The sequence below is a fragment of the Homo sapiens genome, chromosome 8 (genome assembly GCF_000001405.40).
Source record: "Homo sapiens chromosome 8, GRCh38.p14 Primary Assembly".
NCBI lineage: Eukaryota > Metazoa > Chordata > Mammalia > Primates > Hominidae > Homo > Homo sapiens.
In genome coordinates, this window is record NC_000008.11 from 79,881,181 (window position 1) to 79,895,067 (window position 13,887).

The 13,887-nt window shown below is 42.6% G+C and overlaps 1 long non-coding RNA gene across 2 annotated transcripts in view, besides 2 other annotated features; it reads left to right on the forward strand.

Annotated features, from left to right (window-relative positions):
* Nucleotides 9,544-9,753: an enhancer, noted in NCBI's record as "active region_27551". NCBI's record gives its function as "activates an Ori minimal core promoter by ATAC-STARR-seq in GM12878 lymphoblastoid cells {active_cell/tissue: GM12878}" and the evidence as "EXISTENCE:reporter gene assay evidence [ECO:0000049][PMID:35858748]".
* Nucleotides 10,254-10,773: a silencer, noted in NCBI's record as "silent region_19315". NCBI's record gives its function as "represses an Ori minimal core promoter by ATAC-STARR-seq in GM12878 lymphoblastoid cells {active_cell/tissue: GM12878}" and the evidence as "EXISTENCE:reporter gene assay evidence [ECO:0000049][PMID:35858748]".
* The window catches only part of LOC124901966 (uncharacterized), a 39,094-nt gene continuing 35,841 nt past the window's right edge, over nucleotides 10,635-13,887 (forward strand). The window contains exon 1 of one of the 2 annotated variants that reach the window (XR_007060977.1): nucleotides 10,635-11,529. This is a non-coding gene — a long non-coding RNA (uncharacterized LOC124901966). The remainder of the gene's footprint in view (nucleotides 11,530-13,887) is intronic. The other variant, XR_007060976.1, reaches the window with a different exon arrangement.

Consider the following 13,887-nt stretch of genomic DNA (forward strand, 5'->3'; position numbering starts at 1 on the left):
ATTGATAAGCTGCTGTTGAGGGTCTTGTTTTTTGAATCATCTTTTGCTTTCCAACTGAATTTCCTAGACAGAGGATTTACTACTATTTTCATCATGCAGAGTTTATGAAGAGTGAGATGAAAAGGCAGGAAAGGCATAATACCTGAGTGATAAAATAATCTATACAACAAACCCCCATCATACACGTTTACCCCTATGTAACAAACCTGCACAGCGTGCACAAGTTCCCCTGAACTTAAAATAAAAGTTTTTAAAAAATGTTTAAAAAGGCAGCAATGTGGCTGGGCGCAGTGGCTCATGCCTGTAATCCCAGCACTTTGGGAGGCCAAGGCGGGTGGATCACAAGCTCAGGAGTTCAAGACCAGCCTGGCCAATATGGTGAAACCCCGTCTCTACTAATAATACAAAAATTAGCCGGGCATGGTGGCACACGCCTGTAGTTCCAAGTACTTGGGAGACTGAGGCAGAAGAATCGCTTGAACCTGGGAGGCGGAGGTTGCAGTGAGCCGAGATCACACCACTGCACTCCAGCCTGGCAACACAGCGAGACTGTGTCTCAAAAAAAAAAAAAAGGCAGGAATGTCTGCTTATAGTTTATTCCGTCTCTCTTAATAGGGTCAGGGCCCATGGGGCTGTCTTGTTTACCACAGTACAATGTCTGCCACATAATAGGCACTCAGTAAGTACTTGCTGAATGGAAAAGTGAATGTTCAGGAACAGATTGTCCTATATGGAGAATAGGAGGCTCTCCTCCCATAAGGGCAAGGTGAGGCCTTAATGAAAACTGAAATTTCAGCAAGGAGAGGAAAATTCTTTATTTTCATGGAGAGCCTACATTCCAGGACCACAAATAAACAATTCTAGTTGCAGAACAGGAAGCACTGTCTTGGTATAGAGCTACATGAGCTTCAAACTGTAGCCTAAAGCAAACAATGTGTTGCAATTATGTGAAACCTTCATGAACATCAGTTTTTCTGGTTAAAGTAGTACTAATATTGTTTTCATACTAAAGCAAAAATATATATGTTATGAAGAAGAATGCAAAGTTAGCATGGCTTTGAAAAGTAAGAAGTGAGGCAGGGCGCCGTGGCTCATGCTAGAATCTCAGCACTTTGGGAGGCCGAGGAGGGTGGGTCACTTGAGGTCAGGAGTTCGAGACCAGCCTAGCCAACATGGCAAAACCCCGTTTCTACTAAAAACACACACACACACACAAATTAGCTGGGCATGGTGGCGCATGCCTGTAATCCCAGCTACTCGGTAAGCTGAGGCACGAGAATCGCTTAAACCCAGGAGGCGGGAGTTGCAGTGAGCCGGGATCATGCCACTGCACTCCAGCCTGGGTAACAGAATGAGACTGTCTCAAAAAAAAAAAAAAAGAAGTGATACTTACAGATTTTGTGGAGTAGCACAGTGGAGACAACACTGGGCCACTAGAGAGGACAGGCGTCTACTCTAGTGAGTACGCCATCTGACTTTGGAAAAGTTACTTTACCTGTGGCCTCAGTTTCCTTACTTGTGAGAAGGGGATCTGACTAAGTGGTCTCTAATACCTCTTCTAATCTTAGAAGGCTCTGATGCTTATTCCCCAGGAAATGACAAAAACCATTCTTATCAAGTTGTAGCTTCTGACATATTTTGTCATTGCTCTGACCTCCTCTCTGGCCTTAGCAGTGACGTTACTAACTACAGAGGAAGGTAGGAAATCTCTAACAGCAGATCCTGTAAGATACTGCATTTTCCATTTCCCCCCTCTCCCTCTCCTGCCCTCTTCCCTCTCTCTCTCTTTGTCTGTGATACTATATATAACATATAAAAAATAATATTATATTATGAAAATATATGTAGAAATAAATGCTACCAATGAACCCAACTAACTCTGGTTACCAGTTTGCCTGAAACCCCTTTTCTCCCCTCATGGGCATAGTTCTGGGAATATCTGTCTGCCCTCCTTGCCTCTCCTTCCACACTGTTCACTCACCATTTGATTGCTTTCTGTCTGTCTTGCACTCTTACCACTCTGCAGAAGGTCTTCACTTCCTTTTGCTAAATGCAAACAGTCCAATCCTGTGACTTCCGGTGCATTCCTCATTCTCCAACTTCTCCCAGCAATCATCTCTATACAGCACATATGAATTAGGCATGGCATATGTATTTGTGGAATTGAATTTCTGAATGTATTATTTTATACTTAGTGTTACTGTAAAGTAGCCATACTCCTCTTACTGGAAAGCTTTCTCTTCAGGAGAGATAACCCCCTTTAGCCAAATTGCACTTAGGATAAAGCAAAAATAGCTGAAACATAGCAAAACTGCTTCCTCCTCTACCAAAGAAAAACCCTCTAAGGATGATGAACTTCCACAAATTCAGCTAATAGCTTCTTTGTGTCTCAGTATCTGTCTCCCCCTGACCAATCCTAACCACACTTCAAGGCCTACCTTAAGTATCTTTTTTTTTTTTTTTAAAGAAAGTTGCAGCCTCAACTTCCTGGGCTCAAGCAATTCTCCTATCTCACCCTCCCTAGTAGCTGGGACGTAGGCACACTCCACCATACCTGGCTAATCTTTTCTTTCTTTCTTTCTTTCTTTCTTTCTTTCTTTCTTTCTTTCTTTCTTTCTTTCTTTCTGTCTTTCTCTCTCTCTCTCTCTCTCTCTCTCTCTCTCTCTCTTTCTTTCTTCCTTCCTTCCTTCCTTCTTTGGTAGAGACGGGGGTTTCACTATATTGCTCAGGCTGATCTCAAACTCTGGGCTCAAGCAATCCACCTGCCTCAGCCTCCCAAAGTGCTGGTGTTACAGGTGTGATCAGCACACCTGTAATTGGAATTCTTTTTTTTTTAATTTTTTATTTTTGAGATGGAGTTTCGCTCTTGTTGCCCACACTGGAGTGCAATGGTGCAATCTCAGCTCACCGCAACCTCTGCCTCCCGGGTTCAAGTGATTCTCCTACCTCAGCCTCCCGAGTAGCCAGGATTATGGGCATGCACCACCATGCCCTGCTAATTTTTTTGTGTTTTTTGTAGAGACAGTGTTTCTCCATGTTGGTCGGGCTGGTCTGGAACTCCCGACCTCAAGTGATCTGCCCGCCTTGGCCTCCCAAAGTGCTGGGATTACAGACATAAGCCACTGCGCCTGGTCTCTGTAATTGGAATTCTTGACCACTGCTATTGGAAATATTGTCTCCATGCACTCTGAGAGCTAAATGTTCTTATGACTCTTTTTTGCGCATATCTCTCATAGATATTTACAATCCTACTCAAAAACAAACTCCTTGAAGGGCAATCTCCTTACTTTCTTTTTTATATGCACCAAAGCACCTAGTAGATGTTTATTAAATATTTGCTGAATGGCTGATGACCATGGTTTCCACAAGATGTTTTCAGTGTCGGACTCTGGCAAAAATGTAATCATTGTTTTTCTAGAGGACTCTCTACTGTCATAACAAATTTAGTCTCATAGGTCTTTTTGAGTAACCTGATTGACTTTGAAGAAGGCCATTGAGAACAATTACAGATCTGTCATGAAGGGCTGGTATTGTCCCCAACTATCAGAATTTATTTGTCCTAAAACATTCATCCATTCCACAAAGATTTGTTAGGCATCACTATGTACCAAGCACTATTCTAAACCCTGGAGATACTGCAGTGAATTTTAAAAAGTAGTGAAGAAAAAAAAAAAAAACCCTGCCCTCATGGAACTTACATTCCAGGGGTGGGGGGTTATAGACAATAAGCAAAGTAAACAAGAATATGATATAATATAATAGGTCATAAATGCTGTGGAGATAACTAAAACAGACAAGGGGATGGGGATTGTGAGAAAGGGGTTGCAACTTTAAATTCGGTGGTCTCAGTAGGAACCCTTGAGAAGGTGCATTTGAGGAAATGAAGGAGCCAGGCTAAGTGGGAGGGGGAAGGATCATTCCAGGCAGCAGACCTAGTGAAGGCAAAGGCCCTGAGGGCAGTGGGCTGAGGGGATTTCAGGAAAAATGAGGCCAGTATGGCTGGAAGGAGAGATTGCTGGAGAAAATACTATGAGTGAAGTTTAGGAGCTAAGGGAGTGGTATACAGGGCAGATTGGGCAGAGCCTTTTCGGCCATTCTAGGGACTTTGGTGTTCATCCTCAATTAGATGGAGCATTTCGATCCAACAAATGACACAATTTGGCTTTGGTTTTTAAATGATCACTCTGGCTTCTGTTTTGAGAATGTCTATCAGGGAACAGAGTTACAAACAAGGAGACTGCTTTGCAAGCTACTACAGTAATTCAGGTGAGAGGTGATGAGGGGTTGGGCTAAGGTGATGGAAGTAGAGATGGTGAGAAACAGTTGAATGCTGAATCCATGTTAAAGGTAGAGCCAAAGGATTTACGAAGATATCAGAAATGGGGTATACATGAAAGAGAGGAGCCAAAGGTGATTTCCAAAATGTTTGGCCGAAGCGACTGGCCAGAGTCGGGACAGAAGTCTGTGGAAAGTGGGAGGTGAAGGGGATCAGAAGTTTATTTTGGAGATACTAAGTTTTGCAACACTGTCTGGACATCCTACTAGAGTCGATGTTAAGTAAAGGGTTTTGTGTGTGTGTGTGTGTGTGTGTGTGTGTGTGTGTGTGTGTGTGTCTGGAATTCTGGAAAAGTTCAGGCTACAAATCCAAATCACTTAAGGAGTGAGTGTAGATAAGAGAAGATAATATGTGTGAAGGACTGATTACCAGGTACTCCAACTTTAAGATACAGGGAAAATGAGCAGTGAAAACATGCTTGCATGTTTTGAATCATTTTCTACATTATATTCTCCAAAGGTAACATTCAGAAGCTCCACTAGGGCCCCTCTAATGGGTTCCTTCTGCACGAAGCCAACAACTTCTGTAACTGGCTGTGCGATCGCTACGTTTTTATAGAAAGTCACCTCAGAACTGGCTACTAAAATTGTCTGTTGGGCTTATGGGCCTTATATTGGAATCACGCCTCCTCTCTTTTGCTTTTGGTAAAAAATTTGAGAGTAATGGAGAGGGGGCATTACTTGATCTCTTCAGTAATATTTCCCAGAGCCAGGCAGTTCTGTCATGCCCAACTGCAAGATGCATACTTGAACACCAAGATATGTACTTATCTTATCCTGGCAATTAAGACACTGTTCACTTTTGTTTAGAAAGATAGAAACCAATGCAATGATCTTTGGCTAGATTCTTCACAGAATACATGGAAATCTTGAGCTCTAAAGTCAGAAAAACCAGAAATTCTCTTATTTCAAATGAGGCCTTTTAAAATGTATTTTTTCATGTATTTATGCTTGACTCTTGAGGCCTTAACACCATGAACATTTTTAAAATATGAAAATTATATTAAATAAAAGTTTTGAGCTTTTGTCTGACTGCCCCCAAGTCCAGCCCCACCACACATTGAGAGGAGAGAGAGGTGGGAAGCAAATAGTAGTCTTTTCGGTAGCTCATTTGAGGAACAAACACTATTTTCTGGAAAGAAATCATGGGAAATGTAGATTTTCTTTTTTGAAAAAAAATACGGAAATTTGATACCATGGGTTAAGTGCTTCCTAATTTTCTTTTTCACATACCTCATCTTTGTATTATTATCCTATTATACCTCTCAGAATTGCTGAAACCTCTAAACAAAGAGGTAGAAAGTACACAGCTACAAAAGACTCCAAATCCTTTTTCTATGTCAGAACAGAATACCAGCCTCTAGTCCAATTACACAGGACTATGCCTTCTTCTCTTTGAGTTGCAGAAAGAACACACTCATGTTTCTTAGCTTGCACTTATGTTCATCAGGCAGCTCTAAATGCATTTTAAGCCACTTACTAATAATAAATGAGATGCAGACCCCTGACTCAATTTCTAGATTGATACTTTGAAAAGTTTGAATCTTTACTGAAAAGGGGGTAAAAAGAATTCCAAATTTCTGACATGTCACTGATACTCAAATTCTCAAAACATATTCCATAAATTTGTAGATGCCTAAAGATTTCTGTGCATTCAGACCTTGGAACAAACAAGCCAGTTCAGCAAATGGAATCTCATTCCTTTGGGAAGTCATATGGGAGGGGCACCTGCTTTAGAAAAACACAGACTGGGTTTGAAGACTAATTCCATCATTTTCATTACTTGTGTGTCTAAGGGCAAGTTACCTTATCACTTTAAGCTTTTAGCTTCCTTGTCTAGAAAAAGAAGATAATAAATGCCTTCCTCATTGGATTGCTGTGAATATTAACTGAGATAACTTAGGTAAGCACCTAGAACAGCGCTAGTGCTCAACAAATGTGACACCCCTAAATAGCAATGCAGAGAAATAGACTCAACCATAGTTACTGAAGAAAGGAGATATTTTGAATGTGTTTTGAAATAGACATCAAATAATACAGGGAAAGCACACAGTTCTTTTTTTCAAGTGATTTTATATTGTGATATGCATCATCCTTTCTTAAAGCAAGGAAAGTCTTGGCACTGTCAAATCTATTAATGTAGCTTTATAATTATTACTCCAGGGAAAGATAAGAGCTTTTAAAATTTTTTAATGAGAGCTCAGATTTTAGAAATTTCCAGGATTTTGCAAATTCAAATATTAGAATCAATTTTGGAAACATCTACCAGTTATCCTTGCAATTGAGCTAAGACAAATGAAATCTTAATCTTGGAATTTCATTTCTGATGCTCTATTTCCATTTACATAAATTCTTTTCCTTTTTGTATGTCTCAGGAATAACCAAGTTCTTTTGATCTTGTTTCCTTATTTTTGTGTTCTCTAGAGAAACCCAGATATTCTTTTGTTCATATTTGTTGGACCATGACCAACAGTGGTCTGACGTGCCCTGTGCACCTCTAGTGTAATTTTCCATGTAATCCTTGTGATCAATTCTGAATTTGCCTTTCCCAGATATTTTCTGTAATTTTATCAAACTGCCTCCCAATTCTTCATGACATACACAGAGAATTTGACCCAAATCTAACATGCCGAATGGTCTTTAGCCAGCCTCCTCTGGATTGGGATCTCACAACTAAGCAAAACCAGGCCTCAACTCTTCTTGGATGGAAAATCCGAGGGAAAGAGGATGTAAACTGAATGATAGTCTTTCCTGCAATCAGCACAGAGCCAACCACCCCTTATAGTCTGAGGTTTAACTGAAGCGCATCCATTGGAGTAACACGTAAAACTAAGCTGCTGTTAATTTTTCTACTAAAATGCTTCATTTACCTAACATTCTTGAGGAATGAAGAATTCTACTTATCTATTTCACAACTAACTAAAGCTTATTCCCTTAAGTGCTAAAATCTATTTTAAATCAAAATCCTTATAATCCTTATACTTGCTTGCCTTTCTAAATGGTGCAATAAGTGTAATTTCACCTTGTCTTCAGGATTAAAGTTCATAATTATTGTCATTTATATGGAAAATATTAATGGCCTTTTGTGCTGAAAAGGAAAGGTTTGGTGGTGGTGGTGGTGTTGTTTCGAGACAGAGTATCGCTCTGTTGCCCAGGCTGGAAGTGCAGTGGTGCAATCTTGGCTCACTGCAACCACTGCACTCCCAGGCTCAAGGGATTTTCATGCCTCAGCCTCCGGAGTAGCTGGGCAATTTTTGTATTTTTAGCAGAGTCAGGGTTTCGCCGTGTTGCCCGGGCTGGTCTGGAACTCCTGAGCTCAAGTGATCTGCCCACCTCAGCCTCCCAAAGTGCTACAATTACAGGCATGAGCCACCGTGCCTGGCTTGGAAAGGGAAGTTTGCTCACACATGCAACGACTCCATATGAACCTATTTGTTTTTTAAATTACTTGGCACTTCTTTTCTGAAGTCTGAAACTCTCTTCAGGTTATCAGTTACAGTGAGTATTCTATCTTTTCCATTCTAATGGTCTATTGTGAGGTGGATTTTAAAAAAATGACAACAAACCAATACTATTAGGATTGTGCTTCAAGAAAAAGCAACTGTGGGTGTCTGTGGGAATCTCCTAATAACAAGGTATATGACCTTCAGTGCATGGCCATATAAGTCTTTTTTAAAAAATGCTTTCTAATCTGATAGTTGTGTATCCGAGAGTTAACGCTGGGAGTCATTGTTTGAGTCAAGTGTTACCTCACCAGAGCATTTCCTTATTAAAAAAAACGCACAAAAAAAGTATTTAGTTCTCATCACTTCCCAGGCAGTTTTATGACAGGTCCTGCTTTCCTGTTTTTATTAATGGGAACGGACAAGTCAAGTGACTTATTGAAGGCCAGCAACACGAGGGGTAGAACCAGATACAGAAGTTTCATCTTTTAACTTCTCTGATCAATTCAGTAAACTCATCATGATCTATAGGACTTGAACTTAACTGAATTTTTAATTGAGTATTTTTTTTGGTAAATCAAATGTTATAATGATAATATATTTAGTGATGTCTCTAAATGATTTTTTATAAATGGAAGGACTGAGGGAAGCCTTCTAGAAAGAGAAGGCAGAGTTTTTTCAGTTGCCCTAATGGCCTGGATGCCTCAGGATGCCTTCTTCTACCACCTGGGATTTGGCGGTAGAAACCCAGTTTAGAATTTATAAAAAGAAAGTTACTGCCAATCATGTGGCCCCTTGAGAATATGTAACAAAATGAAAGGAGATAGATGGATGTTTCTTGTCTGGTGTCTATAATTCCACCTGATACATAAAAGGCATTAAGTTGATTTACTTGATTTTTAGGAGAGTAAAATCCCGCATAAAAATCAACAGCTCTTTTAGCCTAAATCTTTAGTACACAAAGTTTTTTGTTAGAAGTGAAGCAGTATCTACAATTAACAGATTTATCAGGCTATATATTTTGTTTTAACGCAAGCATGAGCCACATAGGCCTCTGCAGGGTAGTATGCTAAAGGCATTATCAGCTCAGATGTTTCTGCCTTACCCTTGGCCATTCTGATGTGAGAGATTTGGGGCTGTGGGTGGGTGGGAGGACCCCAGGTTACAGGAGTGGGAGGACGGCTGAAAGCAGGGGAACTTCTAAATGCCCTTCCGTGACTCTCCCAGGCTGAGTGGAGTGGCATCTGGATCAGAGGTTCTCATTGTACCCAGCTCCACACTAAACTTTCAGCATTGGACAGAGAGAATTGGTTAACTTCTTGTTGTCCACAAGGCATAAGGTAGTGTCATGTGAACTATTAGTTTCATTCACTGCAATTATTTATTTCTTACATTAAATTTTGCTCAAGTCCCTTACAATTTTCCAAAGATAGACATGTGGATGTGGGCAAGCAGGCAAAAAAGCAAAAAAGCAAACAACAACAACAACAACAACCTCTTGAATTTCATTTTGCTTCTTTTGATTATTCAGAGAAAACTTCAGAAAGTTAATGTAGCACAGATAGAAAAATGTGAAATACAGAGTTGAAAGAAGACAGTGCTTTCATCTGTCAAGCATTAGGGGTTTCCCAGCCTGGAATGTACCTGGCTTTAATAGTTTTTAAGGGATTGGTTTTTATTCTGAACCCAAATCCCACCCCACCTCCCCAAACACACACGCATACACGCAGGCACACGCATATACATATCGGGTTATACAGTGATGCCAAAACAGACAAGGAAGGGAAGTCAAGATTAATAGTGGTGAGCAGGGCGTTGATTTCAGCCAGTTCTGTTTACACAGCATTTTCCTTCCAGAACCGCAGAGCTCTACACAGATACTATCTCACTAATCCTCAATGGAGCTTTCTCAAAGCGCCTTTATCCAGCCTCTCTCCTAGGAGAAAGTGAGGCACGGCGGGCAGAGGTGGTGAAGTCCTCGCAAAAGCTGGAAACATGACCCCGGGCTCCTGACGCATGGGCCATTGTCCTTTGCACTCCACCGCGCCACCTTCCTGTCAGGTGTCTGGTAAACAGGTTAACTGATCGCTGATTAGGGGCCTCCCGCCTACGTGCAATGAGTGGCGGAAAGGAGCTTTTCCTTGTCAATACGAAAATCTTTGAGTACAAATCGATAAAGCTAGAGATTCAAAGACTGCCTTTATAAAACTGGAGAAGATGCACTCTGGCCATAGGCGGAGGGGGCAGCCCGGGGCCCCTGTCAGGAAGCCAAGCGGCCCGGGGCATCCCTGGAAGGCTGCCGAGGGGGCAGCGCCTTCTCTGGGGACGGCTTCGTGGAGAGTCCGGGACGGGCGAGACAGAAAACCGAGCCCTATTTGTTATTAGTATTTTTTTTTTTATACTCTCAAATGCCACCGGCACATTCTTTTAAAAAAAAATGAAAGGAAAGAAAGAAAGAAAAAGAAAATAAGAGAGGAAAAGGTCCTGAGAAATGACGGACGCTTGAACCTCGGGCCCGGGAAGACCAGCGCCCTTTGGCGGCTAGGCCTCGGGGGCGTGCGGAGGGCGGGCCCCCGCGCGGCCGCCGCTTTCCCAGGCCGCCAGGGGTGAGGAGGTGACGCTGCGGGCTTGGTGGCGGCTGGTTTTTCACACAGGAATCCTCCTCGCCACCGCTCCCTCGAAGGCCGCCCCCCGCTCCACCCCCAGCACTGGGCGCCCGCGCCTCCCAACTCAGCCCGCCGCCGAGCAGACGGCGCGCCGCGGTAATTGGGCACAGGGGCCTTTTTCAGAGTCGCTCAGTCGATAAATGAAACGTCAGCTCCCCTGTGATCCCGCGTGTGTGGGGCGGCGGTGGCTGCGAGCCGGGGCGCAGGGCCGGCCGGCAGCCGCTGCTCTTTCACAGCCCCAGACCCTGCGCGGCCTGCCGGCGGCTGGCGACCTCCCTTCCCCTCCCGAGGCGCCCGAGCCTCTGATCCCCTCCCGGGGCGCCTGTGGCCTCCCTTCCCCTCCCGGGGCGCCCGAGCCTCTGATCCCCTCCCGGGGCGCCTGTGGCCTCCCTTCCCCTCCTGGGGCGCCTGTGACCTCCCGTCCCCTCCCGCGGCTCCCGCGGCCTCCGACCTCCTGCCGGGGCGCCTCAAGGGCCCCTGCCCCACATCAGAGGGTCTTGCGGTTTCCTGGTTTGGTTCAACATCTCTGAAACCCAGAGGTGAAGAAGAAACCATGGAGGAGAATCCGAAACAGTCTTCCAGATCAGACCTCTAAAATAACTAAATTCTTGTTAATCATTAGATTCTCCCTTTTATTTAATGTGTAAGTCCAAGGGGATTCCTTCTGCTTCCCCATTCAATTAGACAGCAACCTCTTCCTCTAAAGTTCTCTCATCTGAAGCCATCTGAGCAGGAGCACTTTGACCAACTCAATTCTGCTCTGATCTGGACTACTTCTCCCAGTTTAGGGATCAGTAAATTGCCAAACACTTCCCAATTTATCCCTGAAGGAATCCCTGAAAAATGATGGCCTTTATTCTCCCTCAGAGAGGGAGCTTGAGCTCTTGAGAAAGACATGAAGGCCCTTGCCGCTGTCGGCATCACTCCTTCCTCCCTAATCCGGTCAGTTAATTGCTGAGTGCTCGCTTCCTGATCTGCGTGATGGCCTCGGAACCGGGCTGCGTGTAGACCTGGGTGACTATCAGCTCAGCTCCCAAGTGGAGGGCCTCGGAAGACGCTCTGTGCGGCCTACTAACAAGCACGAGGTAACAGCACTTGGTACTTTCCATGGGATTTTATTATTATCTTGTTTACTCTTCACAACGGTCTCTTTTATGGGTAATCAAACAAGCTGAGGGAGGTTCAGAAATCTGCCCGAACCTCACAGTTCATAGGTGGCAGATGTTTCTGACTCCACGATCTCAAGAGCTCCTCAGTCTCGGGCTAGGCAGAGTTGGATCAATAGGGTGAGATAAAAAGCAGCAGAAAGGCAGAAGGGCAGTGGGACCTGAGAAGGGATTCTACTTTTTGTTAGATACTAGTTCAGAAAGTCAGTTTGCAGAAGCGGCATTCGCATTCTTACTGGAGGGACCCAGCCTTAGCTTTTACCTCTGAGGGATTTCCTCACAGCCTTGATACTTTCACCAGCATCAGAGAAAGTCAGATGCTCACCATGGTGAGACGCTTGCTGTCCTTCCTCACTCCTTGGACTTAACGTGAAACTCCTGATATGGGAAATGCTAAAAATTCAGCACGGCTCCAGAATTCAAAGATGTGATAGCTTCAACAGCAACAATTAGATATTGGTTAATGCATTGATATTAATGGCAATGGAGTAAGAGAGAACCAAAGTGATGCCCTTGTTGCTGCCCTAAGAATAGTTTTACAATTTAGAATACTTGGCTTGATATTCATTATTTTGCATATATTATAAAGTGAAGCTCGCTGGCATCTTCAGGGTCTAATCCCATGAGACCATTTTCAAGATGGAATTATATCACAATGCCTTGTGACACTTCAAAAACTAGACTTCAGGAAAGTTAAAGAAGAGTCATTTTTATAGAGAGTTATATCTGAGAAAGATTCCCTTGTAACTGGAAGCAACTTATACAAATATTTTTACAGGGTTAGAATCATTTATTTAATAGAGCAGCTTTGGTCCAAGCTGACATCAGTGGAATGCCATTTTGGTATGGTGTTTCATTTATTTCAAAAGCAAGTCCAGGGAAGCCAGATTAATCAGGAACCTGATTATGTTTCTCCATATATGAAAAAAGAATAATCCTATTGAGGAGGCTTATCTTGGTCAAGCATATGGCTAACAGAAGCAATGTAGCTTTCTAGTGACATCTGTGTAGGGTTGGTTGATTGTGGTAAAGAGCTAGGAAAGGGGACTGCCAAGTTCTAATAAAATTCCTCTCACACTTCAATCTTGCAAAAGAAAAATGATGCACTTTACTCAGAGTAGCCAAGCACAACAAGAAGTGACAGCCATAGTACTGGCCTAAAGAATTGCCACCTATCAGTAAATCCTTCAGTCCTGTACATCTTAGTATGAATTTGCTTTCCTCTTAAGTGAGAGACGGAATCAATATATTTTTCCACAGTTTATTCTTTTGCAAATCACTAAATGTTTTATAGTAAATAGTATTTCTTTTCATGATCCACACCCCTTCTGAAAGCCTGTTATTAGACCATTGGAAGGTTTGATGGGATGGAGCAAGAGGTGAAAGTAGGGATAATTCCGATTAATTGTGCCTGGCCTCCTGGATGGTGGACCTAGGGCTGGGATGGGGAATTGATGGCAAGAGGATTAGAGCTTCAAAACTTCAGTACTGAAGGCACTTAGAGCTCAGTGGGAAGAGGAAATAAGATTTCAGCAGACGGAGAAGAGGTATAGAAAGGAAATCAGGAACCAGACTTAATTTGTTTTATGGTTTAAATAGATTAGGTCCTAGGCATGGGCAGCCACCTCCTACCCTGACCTGCAGACATGGCCCATTCTTGGTAGGAAAGCTCATGTGGACAATCACCACACTATTAAGTCAAAAATTAAACTTACTAAATTGCTGTTATTATTTGTGACTGAGACAACTTTTGCTCAGAAATAATTAAGACATGGCATCCTAAATTATAACAATTCAACTTTCCTGGACTATTTATACCCCTGGGTTTATACATTTATCTTTTGTTTCAATAGAAACAGGCCATATTAATTCAATAGGGCATATTAAGCCATATCTGCTGGAAAAACTTAGGCTTTATTTCTTGACCAACAACTACAGAGTGATTACTTAAATTTTTTTTATTATGGTAAAATATATATAACATAACATTTATGATTTTAATCAGTTTAAGTGTACAGTTCAGTGGCATTAAGTACATTCACATTGTTGTAGAGCCATCACCACCATCCATCACCAGGCGTTTTCATCCTACCATATGGAAACTCTACCCATTAAACATTAACTCCCTATCCCTACCCCTAGCCTTTGGGAACCACTCTTCCACTTTCTTTCTGTATGTGATGGACTATTCTACCTTATATAAGTGGAATCATACAATAGGTATCCTTCTGTGTCTGGCTTATTTCACTTGACATAATGTTTTCAAGGTTCATCCAT